The sequence below is a fragment of the Homo sapiens genome, chromosome 2 (assembly GCF_000001405.40).
Source record: "Homo sapiens chromosome 2, GRCh38.p14 Primary Assembly".
NCBI lineage: Eukaryota > Metazoa > Chordata > Mammalia > Primates > Hominidae > Homo > Homo sapiens.
In genome coordinates, this window is record NC_000002.12 from 207,529,779 (window position 1) to 207,550,310 (window position 20,532).

Consider the following 20,532-nt stretch of genomic DNA (forward strand, 5'->3'; position numbering starts at 1 on the left):
CCCTCTCCCCGCGGAACCCCTTCTCGTCGCCCGAAGAAACCCGAAGGTCTTCGGCAAGTTCCGTCCCCAGCGCGGGGGCGGGGCCGCTCGAGCTGCTCCGGGCCTAGCTCGGCTGTTTCCGTGCGCGGCCGCTGCGCACTCGGCACTGGGCGGCGCTGGCTGGCTCCCTGGCTGCGGCTCCTCAGTCGGCGGCGGCTGCTGCTGCCTGTGGCCCGGGCGGCTGGGAGAAGCGGAGTGTTGGTGAGTGACGCGGCGGAGGTGTAGTTTGACGCGGTGTGTTACGTGGGGGAGAGAATAAAACTCCAGCGAGATCCGGGCCGTGAACGAAAGCAGTGACGGAGGAGCTTGTACCACCGGTAAGAGGAGCAGGAGGAGGAGGCAGGAGCCAGAGAGAGCCGGGGGGACGGAGGGGGGACGGGGAGGCGCCGGACACCCGCGCTTGGGGCCTTCCCCTCGCAGGAGGGGCCGCGGTAAAGATGGAGCCTCCGCCCGAGCCCCACAACATCGCCGCCGCTCGCAGCGAACAAAGAATAATGGCGGCGGACTGGAGCCAGCGGCGGCCGGGGCGGCAGCGACTCTGCCTGCAGCCAGCGGCGGCGCTCATGGCGGGGGGCGGCGGGCGGCGGGCGGCGGGCGGGGTGGGAGCCGGCGGCCGGGGGTGTGTGCGGGCGGCCGGCCGCGGCGAGCTGGCGCCCGCGTTCCCGCCGCCGCCGCCGGGCCGGGCGCGGAGCCGGGAACCCGGAGCCGCCCCGGGGGAGGCCGCCCGCTCGGCCCGGCGCTGCCCCCCGCGCCGCTCGCTCGTCCGGCCCCCGCCGCCCGCCTCGCCCCCGGCCCGACCCGGCCGGGCCTCCGGGGCAGCCGCCGCCTAGGTGCCGGTGGGGGATGGAGGAGGAAGAAGGCGACAGTTGAGGGCAGAGGAGGTGAAGGTGCCTGCTGCCTTCCCGGTGGCTTCGGTGCCTGCCATGCCCGCTTCGCAAGGGGAAGAGCTGCAACGTCTGACCTACTCTTCTCTCCACTCTTTGTGCAATAAAGTTCGAAACCCAAGGTTTCCTCTCGTGCTGTATTTTATTCGTGCCCTTTCCCCCCCGCTCCTACACCGTTGAGGAAATGCTGCTTTCTGCCCTGTGTTGCTTAGTTGAGAGATGAGAGCTTGTGCTTTTGGGGGGAATTTTTGACTCCCTCACCCCTTTGCTTTTTTTTTTTTTTTAAAGTCAGTCATGGAAATGCATGCTTTTTGGGAGAAAGGGTGCTAAGAAAAACATTTATAATAACTTTTTAAACTGTTGGGATCTTATAAAAGGGAAGCTGGTGTTTGAAAACAGTTTCGGTTTTAACCCTTTTTAATAAGGTAATCATCACTTGAGATCTATCATTCTGAAACACTTCGTTGGAACGAGTATCAGCCGATGTACTCTTGTTTTACATCATTTCGCGGGGTGCAACCTTGCCAACCGCGTTTGGGTCATCTGGATCTCCCCTCACCCTCCGTCCCACTCCCCCTACCATATTTCCCACGAATTTCTGTGTGAACTTTAATGAGAGATTGATTTAATACTACTACTAAAAATAGACATTAAAGTATCCATTATTTGTCTCATGCAGTAGGTAACCCCCGTCTTGAGATTGACAATTTAAGCCACAAGCTGTATTTTTTCTTCGCCTGTTGGGAAAAGAGGACAGCAGAAAAGTCATTGACACATTAAAAATTAAAAGACAGTTTTTGAAGGACGTGCGGTATGACCTATTTAAGTTTGTAATACCATCTCAAGTTATAATTCTAACCTCAGCTGGCGTCTAACTTCTGAAGGTTTAGTAGAAGATACTTTTGATTGCTGCCTATTGAAATCTTTTACATTTATGGCTCATTTCGTGATTTAAAAGTAAAGCCCCGAACAGTTATTTTAGGTGGTGCAAAAGACGAACAAGTTTGTTTTAAAAATACTTGTCTGTCACTGTATGATTGCATTGTGATTGATACGTACAAACCTTCTGGTTAAGAACAAATATTGATTGGCAGCAGAAGCACTGTCTTATTTTTCTGTATTCTAGTCACTTTTCCAAAACGTGCTTTGCTGTATTGCTTCTCTTTAAAAGACCACATTGGCAATTTGTCATTTCCAAGAAAATTAAGAAGAGGCAATAAAGGCAGGTTTTCTATAAAGATTGGGGAAATGATTTTATTTCCGAGCACTGAAAAAATTATAGTATTGATAATGGTAGCTTACCATTTTTCCTTTATGTTGTTCCGCAAGCCACTATCAGTAGAGTAGAATTTTTTTTCTTGTTAAGAATATAAGTCGGGCGCGGTGGCTGAGGCCTGTAATCCCAGCACTTGGGGGGTCGAGGCGGGCGGATCACTTGAGGTCAGGAGTGCAAGACCAGCCTGGCCAACATGATGAAACCCCATCTCTACTAAAAATACAAAAATTAGCCGGGTGTGGTGGCACGCGCCTGTAATCCCAGCTACTCGGGGGGCTGGGGTTGCAGTGAATTGAGATCGTGCCATGCACTTCAGCCTGGGCGACACAGCAAGACTCCGTCTCAAAGAAAAAAAAAAAAAAGAAAGAATATATGACTCTTCATTTGTGAGATTTTTAAAAAATTGTTCACTGATGGCCGAGTGCGGTGGCTCACATCTGTAATCCCAGCACTTTGGGAAGCCGAGGCAGGCGGCTCACGAGGTCAAGAGATCGAGACCATCCTGGCTAACATGGTGAAACCCCGTCTCTACTAAAAATACAAAAATTAGCTGGGTGTCGTGGCGCGTGCTTGTAATCCCAGCTACTAGGGTAGCTGAGGCAGGAGAATCTCTTGAGCCCAGGAGGTGGAGATTGCAGTGAGCCGAGATCGCGCCACTGCCCTCCAGCCTGGTGACAGCGAGACCCCATCTCAAAAAAAAAAAAGTTTACTGATAAGTTCTTTCTTTAGTCTTGCCCGAGAGATATTTTAAATTGTATTTTTTATTTTTATTTTTATTTATTTGTTTTTTTGAGACGGAGTTTGGCCCTTATTGCCCAGGCTGGAGTGCAGTGGGCTGGTCTCGGCTCACTCACTGCAAGCTCCGCCTCCCGGGTTCAAGCAATTCTCCTGCCCCAGCCCCCCGAGTAGCTGGGATTACAGGTGTGAGCCACCGCGCCCGGCCTGTTTTATTATTTATACATTCATAATTTGTGATTCTTAGCAATTCCAGGTGAAACTTCAAACTTGTATTCATTAATACTTGAACATTCACCTGGAACATGTTACTAAATTGTACTTCTGCACTGTTCCAGCCATGGATAAAAATTACAGCTGGATCTGCTTGAATCTTTTTTTTTTTTTCATGAACACCTACATTTAGAAAGCTAATAAATTACTTGACAGAGTTTGCTTGAAGAATGTTAAAAGAACACTTCTTTGGGAATTTAAAACTTAAGTGTTACCTGTTTTGAATGATTTTTTTTTTGTTTACATAAAGAGCCTGAAGAAACTTAGACACCTGATCCATAAAAATGGCACCTTTTTCTACTTTCTGAAACTCATATTCTTGATTAGGTCTCATTATTAGAAATTTTGGGTTCTTCATAGAGAAGTAGCTTTATTTCTCTCTCATTCTAAGACATTTGGTTTTGTTTGTTTGGATACAGTATGGTTATGGGGTTATAGTAAAACCAAGTATGTCTTCCTCACGTGTTTTTAAATTCTACTTTTTATAACAGAAAATTATTTTTAACCTAATGCTTACAATATATTACCGAAATTTATAATTTCATTTATTCCATAAATAGCTTATCAGATATGAGTTACATAAACTTGTTTACAGCCAGCTTGTGACATAGTTTTGCAAATATCTTGATATATGGTGTAACTTTGATGGCTTCTTTATTGAATAGAGCTCAAATCTAAATTTAAGAATGTAATGAGATGTCAAGATGGAAAAATGCAGGATTTTTTTTTTTCTTACCCATGTGTAAACTCATCTGTACTGCAGTATCACTTGAGACAGCAGTTTATGGTAATTCAAATATTTATTTGGCACTCACTGTGACAGAGAATGTAGTTGAAAGAGCATGAGGTTTGGAATCATAGGCCTAGGTCTGAATCCAAGCATTGCCACTGCTATCCTGTACCCACCCTAAAGGAATTTTGTGTCCTGAAGGAAGTTTCTTAATCTTTCTCAGCCTCAGTTTCCTTATATGTAAAATTAGAATACTACTACTTATTTCATAAGATTGCGAGATAAACATAAAGTACCTTAGGGCTACAACTAATGATAGCTAGTCCCTTAAGCTTTATTTTAACTTCCTACCTGTGGGCCCTTAGGCAAGTTATCTTAACTTCTTAATACCTCACTTTCCTTTCTGATCAGTGTAGAACAACTACCTCAGAATTGTGGGGGTTAACTATAAAGTAATACATACTAAGTCCCAGGCATTGTGCAAGTGTCAAGTGCTCAAGTGTTGACAAGGCTTTTTTCTTTTGTTTTAATTTTTTTTTGAGACGGAGTCTTGCTCTGTTGCCCAGGATGGTGTGCAGTGATGCAGTCTCAGCTCACGGCAACCTCTGCTTCCTGGATTCAAGTGATTCTCCTGCCTCAGCCTCCCTAGTAGCTGGAACTACAGGCATGCACCACCACGCCCGGCTAATTTTTGTGTTTTTAGTAGAGACAGGGTTTCACCATGTTGGTCAGGCTGGTCTTGAATGCCTGGGATTATAGGCGTGAGCCACCACGCCCAGCTGGTCTGTTACTTTTTAAATTATTTATTATTACTATATGTAATACAGTGGGTCAGAAGCTACAACAAATCCAAAGATGAATTACGCTGTCTTATCTCTACCCTCAGGAACTGTTGGGGACACAGTGACTAAGGCAAAATATGTGTCAAAAGAAAGCAGTCAAAGGAAAAAGGGATCACCTTTGGTGAAGTGAGGAGTATATTTTTTATATTTCTAATTTGGTTTTTTGAATAAGTAATTCATTCACATGATCTATAATTCAAAACATAATAACAGCAAAATGCCCTACATTCTCTTGCCCTATTACCTAAGTGTTAGCAATTTTTTATTTGTCCTTTAAGAGGTGTTTTATGCAAACACGAGCAAATATGTATGTACAGTCTCCCCCTTTTTGTACAAATGGTAGCATACTAGGTATACGCTCTCCTATATCATGCTTTACCCCCACCACTTAATATGGCTTAGCAATTTTGTATCAGCACATAAAGAGCTTCTTCATTTTTTAACATACAATTGGAAGCATTTTATTATGTAAGTAGACTGTATTAACCAGTTAGTGAGCTGCTTTTATTCTTAGGTCTTATATTACCTTTTAAACTAAGGGAAACTGCCATCTTGCCTTTATTTCTTTAAATGAAAAACTTTCTATTTGAATGAAAAATAAATAGTTTGTGACAGGAAATTGTTATTTAAAGTCCCTCATTTCCTGTTTAACTCCAGTTTTTAAAAGTTTTAGTAAAATGATCAAAATGTACATGAGGAGGCAAGCAAGCCAGGTTAAGAGTTAACTCACAAGGTGAATTTAACTCTTTTGTTGAGGTTCTTACAGTTCTGAACAGACTACTTCTTTCAATTATTATTTTGGCCCAAAAGGTTTTTATAGCTTTCTTTCTTAATGAGAAAGAACATTTCATATAGTCCGGTGTTTTTTTGGGTTTTTTTTAACAGACAGCTCATGGGATATTATTACCCAGTAAGGCTGATTACTATACTAGATTTCTCCCTGCATTCATTTATTTTTTACATACTTGTTAACTTACCTTGACGATTTTCTAGTATTTCTTAATGTAATTATGTGAGTTTTATATTTTGTACCTAAATTTAAAAATAGTGAGATTCACCTATATGATTGCTGAGATGATAAACTTTACTGCATAGATGATTTTTTTACCCCCGTGGGGAAACCTTTGGTCAACCAGTTGGACCAAGTAATACGTATTTCAGCCAAAGCACAAAATGCGTTTCACTACCTTTTTTTTTTCCTCTAGCTTTTCGAAACAGCATTGAGCTACAATACTTTTTTATTTATTTATTTATTTATTTATTTTTATTTATTTATTTTTTTGAGGCAAGGTTTGGCTCTATCACCCAGGCTGGAGTGCAGTGGCACACACTTGGCTCACTGCAACCTCTGTTTCCTGGCTCAAGCCATCCTCCCATTTCAGCTTCCTGAGTGAGTGGGACAACAGGCGCGCACCACCAGGCCCGGCTAATTTTTTGTAGAGACAGAGTTTCGCCATGTTGCCCAGGCTGGTCTCAAACTCATGAGCTCAAGCCATCCACCTGCCTCAGCCTCCCAAAGAGTTGGGATTACAAGCGTGAGCCACCATGCCCGAATGCTGTAGTACATTTTAAATATACATGCTGTTTGTATTTATCTTTAAAATGTACACACTATGACTTTTTTGAGTTGATTAAACTCAGAAAGTGATTAATAATATAGCAGCAAGGGCACAAATCTCTTTCCAGAAAACATCATTAAGTAAAGCTGTCATGGGCCAGTCGCGGTGGCTGACGCCTGTGTGATCCCAGCACTTTGGGAGGCTGAGGTAGGTGGATCACCTGAGGTCAGGAGTTCGAGACCAGCCTGGCCAACATGGTGAAACCCCGTCTCTACTAAAAATACAAAAATTAGCTGGGCATGGGGGCAGGCGCCTGCAATCCCAGCTACTCAGGAGGCTGAGGCAGGATAATCACTTGGACCTGGAAGGCAGAGGTTGCAGTGAGCTGAGATTGCACCATTGCACGCCAGGCTGGGCGACAAGAGCGAAACTCTGTCTTAAGAAAAAAACAAAAGCTGTCATGGTATATTTCGTTTTTTGTATTCCCAAGTTGGTGTTTATGCGTTGATCATATATACAAAGTTTTTAATGTAAGAATATTGTTTTGAGGTTTTACTAATATTTGATTTAAAATATTACTATGTGCTATTTGGCCAGGCGTGGTGGCTCACGTCTGTAATCCCGGCACTTTGGGAGGTCGAGGCGGGCGGATCACTTGAGGCCAGGAGTTTGAGACCAGCCTGGCCAAGATGGTGAAACCCCATCTCTACTAAAAATAGAAGAATTATCTGGGTATAGTTGTATACGCCTGTAGTCCCAGCTGCTTGGGAGGCTGAGGCAGGAGAATTGCTTGAGCCCTGGAAGTGGAGGTTGCAGTGAGCCAGTATCACCCCACTGAACTCCACTCTGGGTGACAGAGCAAGATGCCATCTCATAAATAAAATATTACTGTGTGCTATTTGTACCTGCTAAATGATTAAAATGTTTACAAAGTGCTTTGTTGTTGTTGTTGTTGTTGAGACGGAGTCTTTCTCTGTTGCCAGGCTGGAGTGCAGTGGTGCGATCTCAGCTCACTGCAACCTCCGCCTCCTGGGTTAAAGCGATTCCCCTGCCTCAGCCTCCCAAGTAGCTGGGATTACAGGCGCCTGCCACCATGCCCAGCTAAAGAGACAGGGTTTCACCATGTTGGCCAGGATGGTCTCGATCTCCTTGACCTCGTGATCCACCCACCTCTGCCTCCCAAAGTGGTGGGATTACAGGCGTGAGCCACTGCGCCTGGCCTACAAAGTGCTTGTCTTTACATATTTGGGGATGGGGGTGGGGTAGATCATTGAAATCTGTAAAGGCAGAACGTTTTTTATCTGGAACATATCTGTAGACTAACAGAGTTAAATGATTTCCCACAGTGTCATGGAATCATCAGTGGATTGCCTCTTGGGGTGGAGGCAAAGATCATTAAAGCAGCAAACTGATAATGTGAACGTGGTTGTTTTTTCTCTGCCAATTAAATATATGCTAGTTTAGTCATTATAGAAGAGCCAGATGCTGGTCAGCTTGTTGAAGTTGTAAGTAGAAGGTGTGGTTTTATCACATCTGTAAATGTAGGTTTTTGAGACAAAACTTAAATAAGAATAGACGTTAGTTTTTATTCACATTCAGAATGTCTGACTCCCCTTAATATATACACACTCTTGTCTTATCTACTGGGTTTTTTTGTTGTTGTTTTTTGTTTTGCCTTTTCTCTCTCTCTTTTTAAGCTCTGCCAGACAAGGCCCTATGAAGATAGGTTTTACAGGTTGAGAATCTTTTATCTGAAATTCTTGGGACCAGAAGTATTTCCAGTTTTGGGTTTTTTCAGATTTTAGAATATTTGCATATACATACATAATGAGCTATCTTGGGGATGGGACCCAAGTCTAAACATGAAATTTGTTTCATATACACATTATACACATAGCCTGAAGGTAATTTTATACAAAATTTTTAATAATTTTGTGCATGAAACAGTTTTGACTGTGAACTGTTACATGAGGTCAGGTGTGGGAATTTTTCATGGCATCATGTCAGTGCTCAAAAAGTTTGAGATTTTGGATGTTTTATTAGGGATGCTTACCCTGTATTATATTTTGCCCAGATGTTTCCTCATTTGTCTTCTAGGCTACCAGAAAGATGTTAGCTTAGAAAAACGTATTCTGGCGTTTATTCCAACAGATGAGAAGGCAGTTTCTCCAGTGATGAATAATTACCTATAATTTAATACGTGCATTATACATCTCCAGTGATGAAAAATCACTGTGTATTAAAAAATTCTTGAAGCTAGGTACATAATCTCAACTCCTAAAAAAGAAAATAAACAGTAGTACTCCTTGATGAACTTACAGATGCTAAGTTGCCTTTTCTTAGAGTTGAAATAAGGTGATAAAGGAGTTTACCGTGAGACTAGCTGTGTGAACAAAGATGAAAAACACCCTTTCAGTTTTCTTCCTCTTGGATGATTCTAGGATCTCTAAAAAATAATCTTAAAAGGGGCGAGGTTTTGAGAGGATGAGGTCTAAGGAATTGATGGTGAGTTTTTTCTGAAAGAAGAGAAGTGACATTTGATTAGATAAGAAAGGGTTAAAAGGGAAGTTATTAATAAAATAGTTTAGGAGTAGAGTGGATCTGAAAGTTGACTTATACCAATGATGATAGAATGTGTCTTTTCCCAAAGGTTAGTGCATCTTCTCTGAAATGAAGACGTTTCTTTCATCAATTTTAAGTGAATTTCTAAGGATCTGGTTATCTACTTGTGAGTTTTTGGTTGTAACTGTATGACAGTACAGATGTAACTAAAAATGTTTGTAATTTACCCAAGGTTAAATAACCATTATTTTTGAGGGCTGTTATCCCTGTTGGTATAAGTAAGTAGTTGGCAGTAGGGGACACAGAAATACCTTGTTTTTCACCACTGAAGTGAAAATTACAGATTATTCTGAATTATTTGTACTCTTTTTTTTTTTTTTTGAGAGGAATCTCGCTCTGTCTCCCAGCCTGGAATGCAGTGGTGTGATCTCGGCTCACTGCAACCTCCGCCTCCTGGGTTCCAGCGATTCTGCTGCCCCAGCCTCCCAAGTAGCTGGGATTACAAGCATGTGCCACCATACCTGGCTAATTTTTTTTTTTTTTTTTTGTATTTTTAGTAGAGACAGGATTTCACCATGTTGGCCAAGCTGGTCTCGAACTCCTGACCTTATGTGATCTGCCTGCCTCAGCCTCCGATTACAGGCATGAACCACCGCCCCCAGCCCTATTTGTACTCTTAAAGGGGAGTCATTTTCTTATAATAAGTATCAGTAGTAGCTCTATTGTTTGCTGTGATCAATGGTGACACCTTGACTTTATGTATTGCCATTTATCAATCATTTATTCAGTGAAGATTTATTGACCATTGACTTTATTATGGTTGGTGAAATAATCGCAAGAAAATTTATTCAGTTAGGTATTTATAAAAATACCTAGGTATTAAATGAAGATTGTTCTAGTTGATATAAGCAATAAAGCCTGACTATATGGCTCCTACCCTCAAGAATCTTACGGTATAGTAGGGATGATGAAATAGTGTAAGAATGATTTATATGTGCCAGAGTACATGACAGAGTTTTTACTGTCTTGAAGAGCTACAGAGTTCAGAAGAGAAGGGGCTTAGTGAGGAAAAGTTTTGTGGGAGAAGTAGAATTCAAGTTGAATACTAAAGAACTTCAGTAAGTACAGATAAAATGGAGTGTATTCTAGGCAGTGGAATGGACAAAAAAATGAAAACATGGACATATAATGAACTTGACATACTCATAAATTGGTGAAGAAAGTATTAGATTATAGATCTACATTTTGAGGAATGCTGAGTATGAGGCAGGGAGCTTTGAGTTTCATGTAAGAGAAGGTAAGATATAAACAGGAATACAATGATAAATTGGGCTGAAATGTAGATTTCCTGACTCCCAATTCTTCTCCTTAGTGTAGACAGAGATATACAGTCATGCACTGTATAAGAACGTTTTGGTGAATGACAGATTGCATATACAACAGTGGTCCTGTGCTAGTGTAAGCAAACCTATTAAGAACTTCAGATAGGTCCTTCAGGAGGTATTCCAGAAGAAGGCATTGTTACCATAGGAGATGACAGCTCCATGCATGTGATTGCCCCTTGAAGACATTCCAGTGGGACACGTTGTGGAGGTGGAAGGCTGTGATGTTGACAATCTTGACCCTGTGTAGGCCTAGGCTAACGTGTGAATGTCTTTTTAACAAAAAATTTTAAAAAGTGGCCGGGAATGGTGGCTCACGCCTGTAATCCTAGCACTTGGGGAGGCTGAGTCAGGCGGGTTGCTTGAGCCCAGGAGTTTCAAGCAGCCTGGGCAAAATGGCGAAATCCTGTCTCTACAGAGAATACAAAAATTAATTAACTGGGCTTGGTGGTGCATGCCTGTAATCCCTGCTACTCACGAGGCCAAGGCAGGAGAACCCAAGAGGCAGAGATTGCAGTGAGCTGATACTGTGCCACTGCACTCCAGCCTGGGTGACATAGTGAGACCCTGTGTCAAAAAAATAAAGTTTAACAAAAAAGTTTAAAAAGTAAAAAAAAAAAAAAAAAAAAAAAAAAAAGGAAAAAACCTTAGATTCTTTTATTGCTTTACTTTATTACTAAATTTGCTTTCACTTAAAAACCCTTTAGAGAAAAAATATTTTTATACAGCTGTACAATTTATTTGTGTTTTAAGCTATGTGTTATTACAAAAGAGTTGACAAGTTAAAAAAACTAAAAAGCATATGAAGTTACAGTAAGCTACGGTTAATGTATTACTGATGAAAGAAAATTTTGTTTATATAAATTTAGTGTAGCCTGGATGGGCACAGTGGCTCACACCTGTAATCCCAGCACTTTGGGAGGCCAAGGCAGGTGGATTACCTGAGGTTAGAAGTTCGAGACCAGCCTGGCCAACATGGTGAAACCCTGTTCCTACTAAAAGTGCAAAAATTAGCCAGGTGTGGTGGCAGGCGCCCGTAATCCCAGCTACTCAGGAGGCTGAGGCAGGAGAATAGCTTGAACCCACAGGTGGAGCATGCAGTGAGCCGAGATCGTGCCACTGCACTCCAGCCTGGGTGACAAGAGCAAGACTCCATCTCAAAAAAAAAAAAATTAGCCTAAGTATACAGTGCCTTTGAAGTCTACAATAGTGTACAGTAATGTTGTAGGCCTTCACATTTCTCACACTGATTCACCCAGACCAACTTCTAGTCCTGCAAGCTCCGTTTGTGATAAGCACCCTGTACAGATGTACCATTTTTTATCTTTTATATTTTATATCTTTTATTTTTACTGTACCTTTTCTATGTTTGGATATGTTTCGATAACAAATACTTACCGTTGTGTTACATTTCCCCACAGTGTTCAGTACAATACCATGCTGTATGGGTTTGTAGCCTATACTATGTAGCCTTGGTACATAGTAGGCTATACCATCTAGGTTTTGTTTTCTAACCTAATTAACTAATGATGCATTTCTCAGAACATATTACCATCAAGTGACACATGACTGTATATGTATTACAGTTAAAAATTGGACATCATAGATTCTTTTTTAAACAGCTTTATTGAAATATAATTCACATACTCTACAATACACCCATTTGGTGTGTACAGTTCAGTGGTTTTCAGTATATTCACAAAGTTGTGCATCTATTACCACCATCAGTTTAGGACATTTTCATTATCCCTAAAAGAAATCTACACATCTCCTCTCAGCCATCACCTCTTAATCTCCCCATACCTGCAGCCCTAGGCAACCACCTATCACCTTTGTGTCTCTATAGGTTTGCTTATTCTGGGACATTGTGTATAAGTGGAATCATATAGCATAATGTCCATTGTGATGAGCTGCCTTTAGCATAATGTTTTCAAGGTTTATTCATGTTGTAGTATGTATCAGTATTCATTTTTATTGCCATAATAGTCCATTTTATGGATATAGAACATTTTATTTGTGAGTTCACGGACATTGGACTTTTTGATTATTATGAAAATGCTGCCATAAACATTCATTTATGTTGACTTGCCTTCATTTCTCTGAGTATATACTCAGGAATGGAATTTTATGGTAACTGTGTTTAACCATTTAAGGAACTGCCGGGCTGTTTTCCAATCTGCTGCACCACCAGCAGTGTATTAGGGTTCAAATTTTCCCCCATCTTCACTAACACTTGTTATCATCTGTTTTTTGGGGTTTTGGGTTTTTGTTTTTGTTTTTTTGTTTATTTCAATTATAGCCATTCTACTGAGTGCAAAGAGGTAGCTCAGTTTGGTTTTGATTTGTATTTCCCTCACGACTAATGATATCAAGCTGCTTTTCATGTGCTGATTTGGCCATTTGTATATCTTCTTTGGGAAAATTTCTGTTCAGATCTTTTGCACATTTTAAAATTCGGTTGGCTTTTTGTTGTAATAGTTGTTTATTATTCTAGATACAAATCTCTTGTCAGATACATGATTTACAAAAATTTTCTCCTGTGGGTTGTCTTCACTTTCTTGATGGTGTCTCTTGAAGCACAAAAGTTTTTAATTTTTATGATTTCCGGTTCATCTAATTTTTCTTTTCTTGTTTGTGTTTTGGTGTTATATTGTGTATATCATAAATTCTTGTTTATTATAAACATTTAAAAAATATCTCTGATCTCTGTGAAGGCCCAGGCAAACAAGATACCATTATTTAATGAAAAATAACTGAAGCTACTAATGTGTATTTGGAGTTATAATCCACCTACCTCAGGCCTTCCCTTTATTCTGTGTCCATATCCTTCAGTTTGTAGTGACAGATGAAAGAAGCAAAGATGAAAATCGAGAAATAATTTTGAGTGAAACATTTTAATTTGAAGCACAGTTGTCCCTTGGTATCGATGGGGAATTGGTTCCAGGACCCCTTCAGGTACCAAATCCACGGATGCTTGAGTCCCTTATATAAAGTGGTATAGTATTTGCATGTAATCGACAAATATCCTCCCATATACTTTAAATCATCTCTAGATTACTTATAATACCTTATACAGTGCCTGCCCATCACTTGACTCTTATGGGTTCAGCATAGGAGTCAGCATGCAGCAAATTCAAGCTTTACTTCTGGGACTTGGGGATTTTTTTCCCCCAAATATCTTTGATCTGCAGTTGGTTGAATCCACAGATGCTGAATCTTTGGATACAGAGGCCCAGTTGTAACTATGATCCAAGAATTTGTTATTTATTATGAGAGAATTTATTATAATGACTGCGATGGTAGTTTATAACTTATAAACTCTACCATATTTGGGAAATTCACAGTTACAAACATTTACCTATGAAGGGGGAGTGAGTAGTCATTCCTTCATTTTTTACAAATAAGCTGAGTCGTGGAGAATTTAAGTGATGTGTGTAGAAACTCACAGTAAGTAAGGCGTAGTCTTCATCACTCTTGTAGTACTGCATTATCTCTTTGTAAAGTTTTCAGGGTTTCTGTTTTATTAATGGTTATTAATTTTATTTATTTATTTATTTATTTATTTTTGAGATGGAGTCTGTCACCAGGCTGAAGTGCAGTGGTGCTATCTTGGCTCACTGCAGCCTCTGCCTCCTGGGTTCAAGTGATTCTCCTGCCTCAGCCTACCGAGTAACTGGGACTACAGGTGCATGCCACCACACCCAGCTAATTTTTTTGTATTTTTAGTAGAGACAGGGTTTCACCATGTTGGTCAGGATGGTATCGATTTCTTGACCTTGTGATCTGCCCACCTCAGCCTCCCAGAGTGCTGGGGATTACAGGCGTGAGCCACGGCGCCCAGCCAAAATTTGTTTTTTTGTTTGTTTGTTTGTTTTTTGAGACGAGGTCTCGCTGTGTTGTGCAGGCTGGAGTGCAGTGGCACCATCTCAGCTCACTGCAAGCTCTGCCTCCTGGGTTCATGCCATTCTCCTGCTTCAGCCTCCTGAGTAGCTGGGACTACAGGGGCCCGCCACCACGCCTGGCTAATTTTTTGTATTTTTAGTAGAGACAGAGTTTCACTGTGGTCTCGATCTTCTGACCTCATGATCTGCCCGCCTTGGCCTCCCAAAGTGCTGGGATTACAGGCGTGAGCCACTGCCCGGCCAAAATTTTTCTTTTTAAGCAATATTAGTTTAGGCTTGTAAGTAGCTCACTTAGGGTAAATATTCTAGCCAAGATCATGAAAAAATACATTGATTTCATTATGTTCTTAATCAGATCTGCATCAGATTACCATAAATAGGCAGCTATTCTTTCTTTTTTTCCACAGTTCATTGTATTCCTACCATTTCCAAATAGAAGTTTATGGTTTTAAATTACTGATGTTAAGTACTTGTTTGGAAGGAATTTATAGTTAAACTAGTTATAATAATTTATACCTGTCAAGCTCTTTCATATATAGTACATATTTTATCTCTCATTAGTTTCTGTAAGCTCTTGAGAGAAAGGTTCTTTTTTATTTCCACCTTTTAAGTTCAGGGGTACATGTGCAGGATGTGCAGGTTTGTTACATAGGTAATCGTGTGCCATGGTGGTTTGCTGCACACATCATCCCATCACCCAGGTATTAAGCCCAGCATTCACCAGCTGTTCTTCCTGATGCTCTTCCTCCTCCCACCCCCAACCCTCTGACAGGCCCCAGTGTGTGTTGTCCCCCCAACCACCGATGTGTCCATGTGTTCTCATCATGTACCTCCCACTTACAAATGAGAACATGCGGTATTTGGTTTTCTGTTCCTGTATTAGTTTGCTGAGGATAAAGGCCTCCAGCTCCATCTATGTTCATGCAAAGGACATGATCTTGTTCTTTATGGCTGCATAGTATTTCATGGTGTGTATGTACCACATTTTCTTTAGTCTGTCATTGATGGGCATTTAGGTTGATTGCATGTCTTCGCTATTGTGAATAGTGCTGCAGTTAACATATGCGTGCATGTATTGTTATAATAGAATGATTTATATTCCTTTGGGTATATATCCAGTAAGGGGATTGCTGGGTCAAATGGTATTTCTGCCTCTAGGTTTTTGAGGTATTGCCACACTGTCTTCCACAATGGTTGAACTAACACCACCAACAATGTAGAAGCATTCCAGAGAAAGGTTCTTTTATTTTTGTTTTGTTTTGTTCGAGACAGTCTCACTCTGTTGCCCAGACTGGAGTGCAGTGGCATGATCTCGGCTCACTGCAACCTCTGTCTCCTGGGTTCAAGTGATTCTCCTGCCTCAGCCTCCTGAGTAGCTGGGACTCCAGTCATGTGCCACCATGCCCGGCTAATTTTTGTATTTTTAGTAGAGATGAGGTTTCACTATGTTGGCCAGCTGGTCACGAACTTCTCACCTCAAGTGATCCACCCGCCTTGGCCTCCCAAAGTGCTGGGATTACAGACGTGAGCCACTCCGCCTGGCCTAATTCCAGAGAAAGGTTCTTATATGTTTTATGCTATAGTCCCATAGTATGGGACTACTACTATGTAGTAATTTTCAGTTCTGCTGAAAATGCTGTAGTCGTTACTACGTAGTAGGCGCAGAATATTTGTTTAATGAGTGATTCTCTATTAAAGGGTCATAAATTTGAAAGGTAAAGGTTAAGAACAATTTCTCTTTAGAGTTGTACAGATTAAAGGAAGTGAACTTTTTTTTTTTTTTTTTGTGAGATGGAGTTTCGCTCTTTCTGCCCAGGCTAGAGTGCAATGGCGCAATCTCGGCTCACTGCAACCTCTGCCTCCTAGGTTCAAGCGATTCTCCTGCCTCAGCCTCCCGAGTAGCTGGGATTACAGGCGTGCGCCACCACGCCTGGCTAATTTTGTATTTTTTTAGTAGAGACAAGGTTTCTCCATGTTGGCCAGGCTGGTCTTGAACTCCCGACCTCAGGTGATCTGCCCGCCTTGGCCTCCCAAAGTCTTGGGATTACAGGCATGAGCCACCGCACCTGGCCAAACATATTTTTCTTTAACTGAGGAAATTAGATTCATTGTCCAAAGCTTAAAAGGAAGATTTTCTACTTTGAGTTTTTATTAACTCTGATACTTTACTATGACAGTACTTCCAGCCTCTGAGACATGAGAAATAGCGTGAGATTGTAGTAATCAAAATGACCTTACCAGAAATCACCACCAGGTTGGTGAAAAACAGTACATCTACACAGAAGGATGGACTTGATGTTGATTCTTTCAAGATTAAAGATGAAGATGCCCGAACTTGAAGCAAGTCTTTTATCAAAACCGTACATAAAGCAAAACACACTGTATGATACTGTAATGGTGGACACATATCATTACGCATTTATCTGTAGAATGTGCAACACCAAGAGTGAACCGTAAGATTAAAAAAGAAACAACAACAATAGGCTGGGCGCAGTGGCTCATGCTGGTAATCCCAACACTTTGAGAGGCTGAGGTGGGCGGATCACCTGAGGTCAGGAGTTTGAGACCAGCCTGGCCAACGTTGTGAAACCCCATCTCTACTAAAAATAAAAAAATTAGCTGGCTGTGGTGGCGGGTGCCTGTAATCCCAGCTACTTGGGAGACTGAGGCAAGAGAACCGCTTGAACCTGGGAAGCGGAGGTTGCAGTGAGCTGAGATCATGCCACTCACTGCATTCCAGCTTGGGGGACAGTGAGACCCTATATCAAAAAAAAAACAAAAAACAACAAAAACAAATCAAAGCCTGTACATAAAGTATGTACTGTTGCCTGCATGCCATTTGTCAGTTTTAAAGATTAACCATGGTCAGTTTTTAAATGTAGTCCAGTATATCCTTGGTACCTTTGAGTTCTTGGGCTTTTTCCTTTGCTGTTTGACTAGTAAGCAAAATGTAATAAAAGTAATTAGCATATTGCATAATAGTCCACATAGTTCCATTCCCAAATATTACAGAGAACTCCTCATTTTTTGTAATATTGGAGGCTGTTATAACCCTGAAGTCTTGAACATTCCTTACAAATCTCTTGACATCTTTTGTTCTCCATCTGTGAAGTTAGCTAACACCAGAATTCCTGTATTATGACTCCTCCCATAACATGTGCTGTCTCACCTCAAGAAAACTGAATTTTCACTCTTCCATGTCCAATTTGTAAATAATTCACCAAGAATAACATTTCAAAATTTAGTTCAAAATAACAGATGTTACTTCATAAACTTATTTAAAAAACACTTGGACATTCATCTCCCATTTGGATGTAGTGATTTTGACGTAATCACTTTGATTTTCTTAAGTAAATGTAAGTAGGCTATACATATTTAACTTCGGGGCATAGTAACTTTTGGGTACTTACAGTTTCAGCATTGAGCTAGTTTACGAAGCAGAACTAACATTTGAAGACAGCTTCATTCTTTAGTCAACATAAAAATTGTTTTTGTCAAAGTAACTGTATGTAGGAAGTATGTGATCCTTTTTTTCTTAAAAAAATGAGCTCCAAATAGCCATTTAGTAACACTTCATGTATAGAGGTTTCTGTGAGATCAATTCTTCCAAGTGTTCAAAGTGTAAAAAGCTGTGAAACACCCATTAAGTGGGTGTTTGGAATGAAAGGGGAATGGAAAGAGATGAGATAAAAATATTATCTAAAATATTGCATAGTCGTGGCTGCTGCTTTGCTAAGCAACACTGTCTCTTGGTGGTCACATACATGAAGACTTGTTTCAAATTCATGAGTATAGTCTTACCTGAAGGAAAACAAGGCAAGTAAACTTTGCAAATACTTAATTTCAAACAAACAAACAAAAAACTTTAAGAAAGCACTACAGCTTTCTTGTTGAAAGGCGCTATAGAGTTAGTCACATATTCTGAGATGGCTGTCAAACCATGCAATATGTTTCTATATATCAGATGATTTTTTTTTTTTTAAATTGAGATGGAGTCTCATTCACCGTGTCACCCAGGAAGGAGTGCAGTGGTGCAATCTCGACTCACTACAACCCCCACCTCCCGGGTACAGCATTCTTGTGCTTCAGCCTCCTGAGTAGCTGGGATTACAGGTGCACACCACCACGCCCAGCTAATTTTTGTATTTTTAGTAGAGACGGGGTTTCACAATGTTGGCCAGGCAGATCGCAAACTGCCTCAAGTAATCTGCCCGCCTAGGCCTCCCAAAGCGCAGGGATTACAGGTGTGAGCCACTGCATCTGGCTGGCATTATTTCTAACACACTTCTGTTAAATACTTCCTTCAAGAACAATATCTTTGTCATAGAATATGCTACATTTTTTAAAAACAAATTTATTTATCAAGGATGGCATTCAAATACCCTGGTAATTACAAAACTGCAATGATAAAATACAAAATATTGAACTTAAACAGTTTCTCTGAGCTAAATCCAATAAATAAATCAGGGAATTTGTTTTCTTAAATAATATTGAAAAGATTCCTGGGGCCAGGCCCGGTGGCTCACACCTGTAATCCCAGCACTTTGGGAGGCTGATGCGGGTAGATCACCTAAGGTCAGGAGTTTGAGACCAGCGTGGCCAACATGGTGAAACCCTGTCTCTACTAAAAATACAAAAATTAGCCAGGTGTGGTGGTGCACATCTGTAATCCCAGCTACTTGAGAGGCTGAGGCAGGAGAATCACTTGAACCGGGGAGGCAGATGTTGCAGTGAGCCGAGATCACTCCATTGCACTCCAGCCTGGGCAATGAGCAAAACTCTGTCCCCGCCTGCCTCCCCCGCTCCCCCCCAAAAAGATTCCTTTTTGCTATTTATTGCCCTGTTTTTGATGACTATGGTGGTGGTTGGGTTATTTTGGTATTTACTATTAATACAGTTTATAAAAGTAAACAAATTTTCAAGCTTGCTTTTATTTTTGTCATATAAGTAATTTAAATCTTATCAAATTCAGATCACAGAGTTAACTTCATGTATAACTTTTCTTGCTTTGTAATATCTAGATTGGAGGCTGAAATAAGGATTTGTTCTCTGTTAAAAGCAGAAAGACCTTGGTAGGAGCACAGGGAAAACTCAGCTTGATAAAGATACCAATTTATTTTCATTTATCACATTGTCTGCTCTGACTTGTTCCCTTAAAATATTTATAACCTTTGTTACAGTGTGATCAGTCTAATCTAAAGTTTATTCAGTTGAGGTTGATCTATGTTGAGGAGTGTGTGTACATATATACATACATGTATATGCATATGACATTTGAATATGCTTTTTTGCCTGTCTGGTTTCAATGAAAGTGTGCTATATTTAACACCAATAGACTATTATTAGCATCAGAAACCTGGAGCATTGCTAAGTTTCCAGTATTGATTAGATAACAGCTCAGTTCTGCCAGGTTGGACATATGGTAAAGATAAATGACAAGTATTTTAAGGTTAACCCTCCCCCGCTTAAAAAAAAAAGGTGCAGGAAAAAAAGTAGGGGAAAACAGTAGACAGTGCACCCTAGTTATTGATTCTTGGAAAGCTAAAATCTATCGTGTAGCACCTGAACATTATAACACTTTAGAAAATTAAGACATTTGAAGGATGTAAGAATGTATCAGCAAGGCTTTGGCTGGGGTGCAGTGGCTCACGCCTGTAGTCCCAACACTTTAGGAGCCCAAAGCAGGCAGATCACAAGGTCAGGAAATCGAGACCGTCCTGGCTAACACGATGAAACACAAAAAAATTAGACGAGCTCACACCTGTAGTCCCAACACTTTGGGAGCCGAGGTGGGCAGATCACAAGGTCAGGAGATCGAGACCATCCTGGCTAACATGGTGAAACCCCATCTCTACTAAAAATACAAAAAAATTGGCACACACCTGTAGTCCCAGCTACTCGGGAGGCTGAGGCAGGAGAACTGCTTGAACCCAAGGGGCGGGGGTTGCAGTGAGCTGAGATTGTGCCACCACACTCCAGCCTGGGCGAAAGAGCGAGACTCCATCTCAAAAAAAAAAAAAAGAGAGAAAAGAATGTATTAGCAAGGCTTTCAAACAGTTACCCTAAAAACTAAATACAGGCACAACATAACTGTGTAGACATAATTATGTATCACATGTAGGTACTTATAGATATATTTATGCAGAGTATTTTTAGTTAACATATCTGACTGTGACAACAAAATAGTCATTTAGTTTGAAAATCATGTGCCCAAATATGTGTTTTGCTGTGGTTACCCTGGAGACTTTGGAGTTCTGCCATGTGATTTCCTTAAATCCCTGGAATTTTTGATTGCTGAGAATTCAGGAGGAGTTGCCCACTTGTTAGTGTGCAGGGAAATGTGTTTTT

The 20,532-nt window shown here is 41.0% G+C and overlaps 1 protein-coding gene across 19 annotated transcripts in view, besides 6 other annotated features; it reads left to right on the forward strand.

The window, feature by feature from the left end:
- CREB1 (cAMP responsive element binding protein 1) overlaps positions 184–20,532 on the forward strand; it is a 76,027-nt gene continuing 55,678 nt past the window's right edge. For 14 of the 19 annotated variants that reach the window (NR_135473.2, NR_163946.1, XM_011510646.4 and 11 more), the window contains exon 1: positions 184–356. The gene's annotated coding sequence lies outside the window, so the exon portion shown is untranslated. The remainder of the gene's footprint in view (positions 357–20,532) is intronic. The other 5 variants (NR_163947.1, NM_001371426.1, XM_047443436.1 and 2 more) reach the window with 1 other exon arrangement.
- Positions 213–312: an enhancer, noted in NCBI's record as "active region_17041". NCBI's record gives its function as "activates an Ori minimal core promoter by ATAC-STARR-seq in GM12878 lymphoblastoid cells {active_cell/tissue: GM12878}" and the evidence as "EXISTENCE:reporter gene assay evidence [ECO:0000049][PMID:35858748]".
- Positions 403–532: a silencer, noted in NCBI's record as "silent region_12278". NCBI's record gives its function as "represses an Ori minimal core promoter by ATAC-STARR-seq in GM12878 lymphoblastoid cells {active_cell/tissue: GM12878}" and the evidence as "EXISTENCE:reporter gene assay evidence [ECO:0000049][PMID:35858748]".
- Positions 563–612: a silencer, noted in NCBI's record as "silent region_12279". NCBI's record gives its function as "represses an Ori minimal core promoter by ATAC-STARR-seq in GM12878 lymphoblastoid cells {active_cell/tissue: GM12878}" and the evidence as "EXISTENCE:reporter gene assay evidence [ECO:0000049][PMID:35858748]".
- Positions 1,323–1,492: a silencer, noted in NCBI's record as "silent region_12280". NCBI's record gives its function as "represses an Ori minimal core promoter by ATAC-STARR-seq in GM12878 lymphoblastoid cells {active_cell/tissue: GM12878}" and the evidence as "EXISTENCE:reporter gene assay evidence [ECO:0000049][PMID:35858748]".
- Positions 1,901–2,402: an enhancer, noted in NCBI's record as "H3K4me1 hESC enhancer chr2:208396403-208396904 (GRCh37/hg19 assembly coordinates)". NCBI's record gives its function as "activates a minimal SCP1, AML or CMV promoter by ChIP-STARR-seq in primed H9 embryonic stem cells {active_cell/tissue: H9 hESC(primed)}" and the evidence as "EXISTENCE:reporter gene assay evidence [ECO:0000049][PMID:30033119]".
- Positions 2,403–2,902: an enhancer, noted in NCBI's record as "H3K4me1 hESC enhancer chr2:208396905-208397404 (GRCh37/hg19 assembly coordinates)". NCBI's record gives its function as "activates a minimal SCP1, AML or CMV promoter by ChIP-STARR-seq in primed H9 embryonic stem cells {active_cell/tissue: H9 hESC(primed)}" and the evidence as "EXISTENCE:reporter gene assay evidence [ECO:0000049][PMID:30033119]".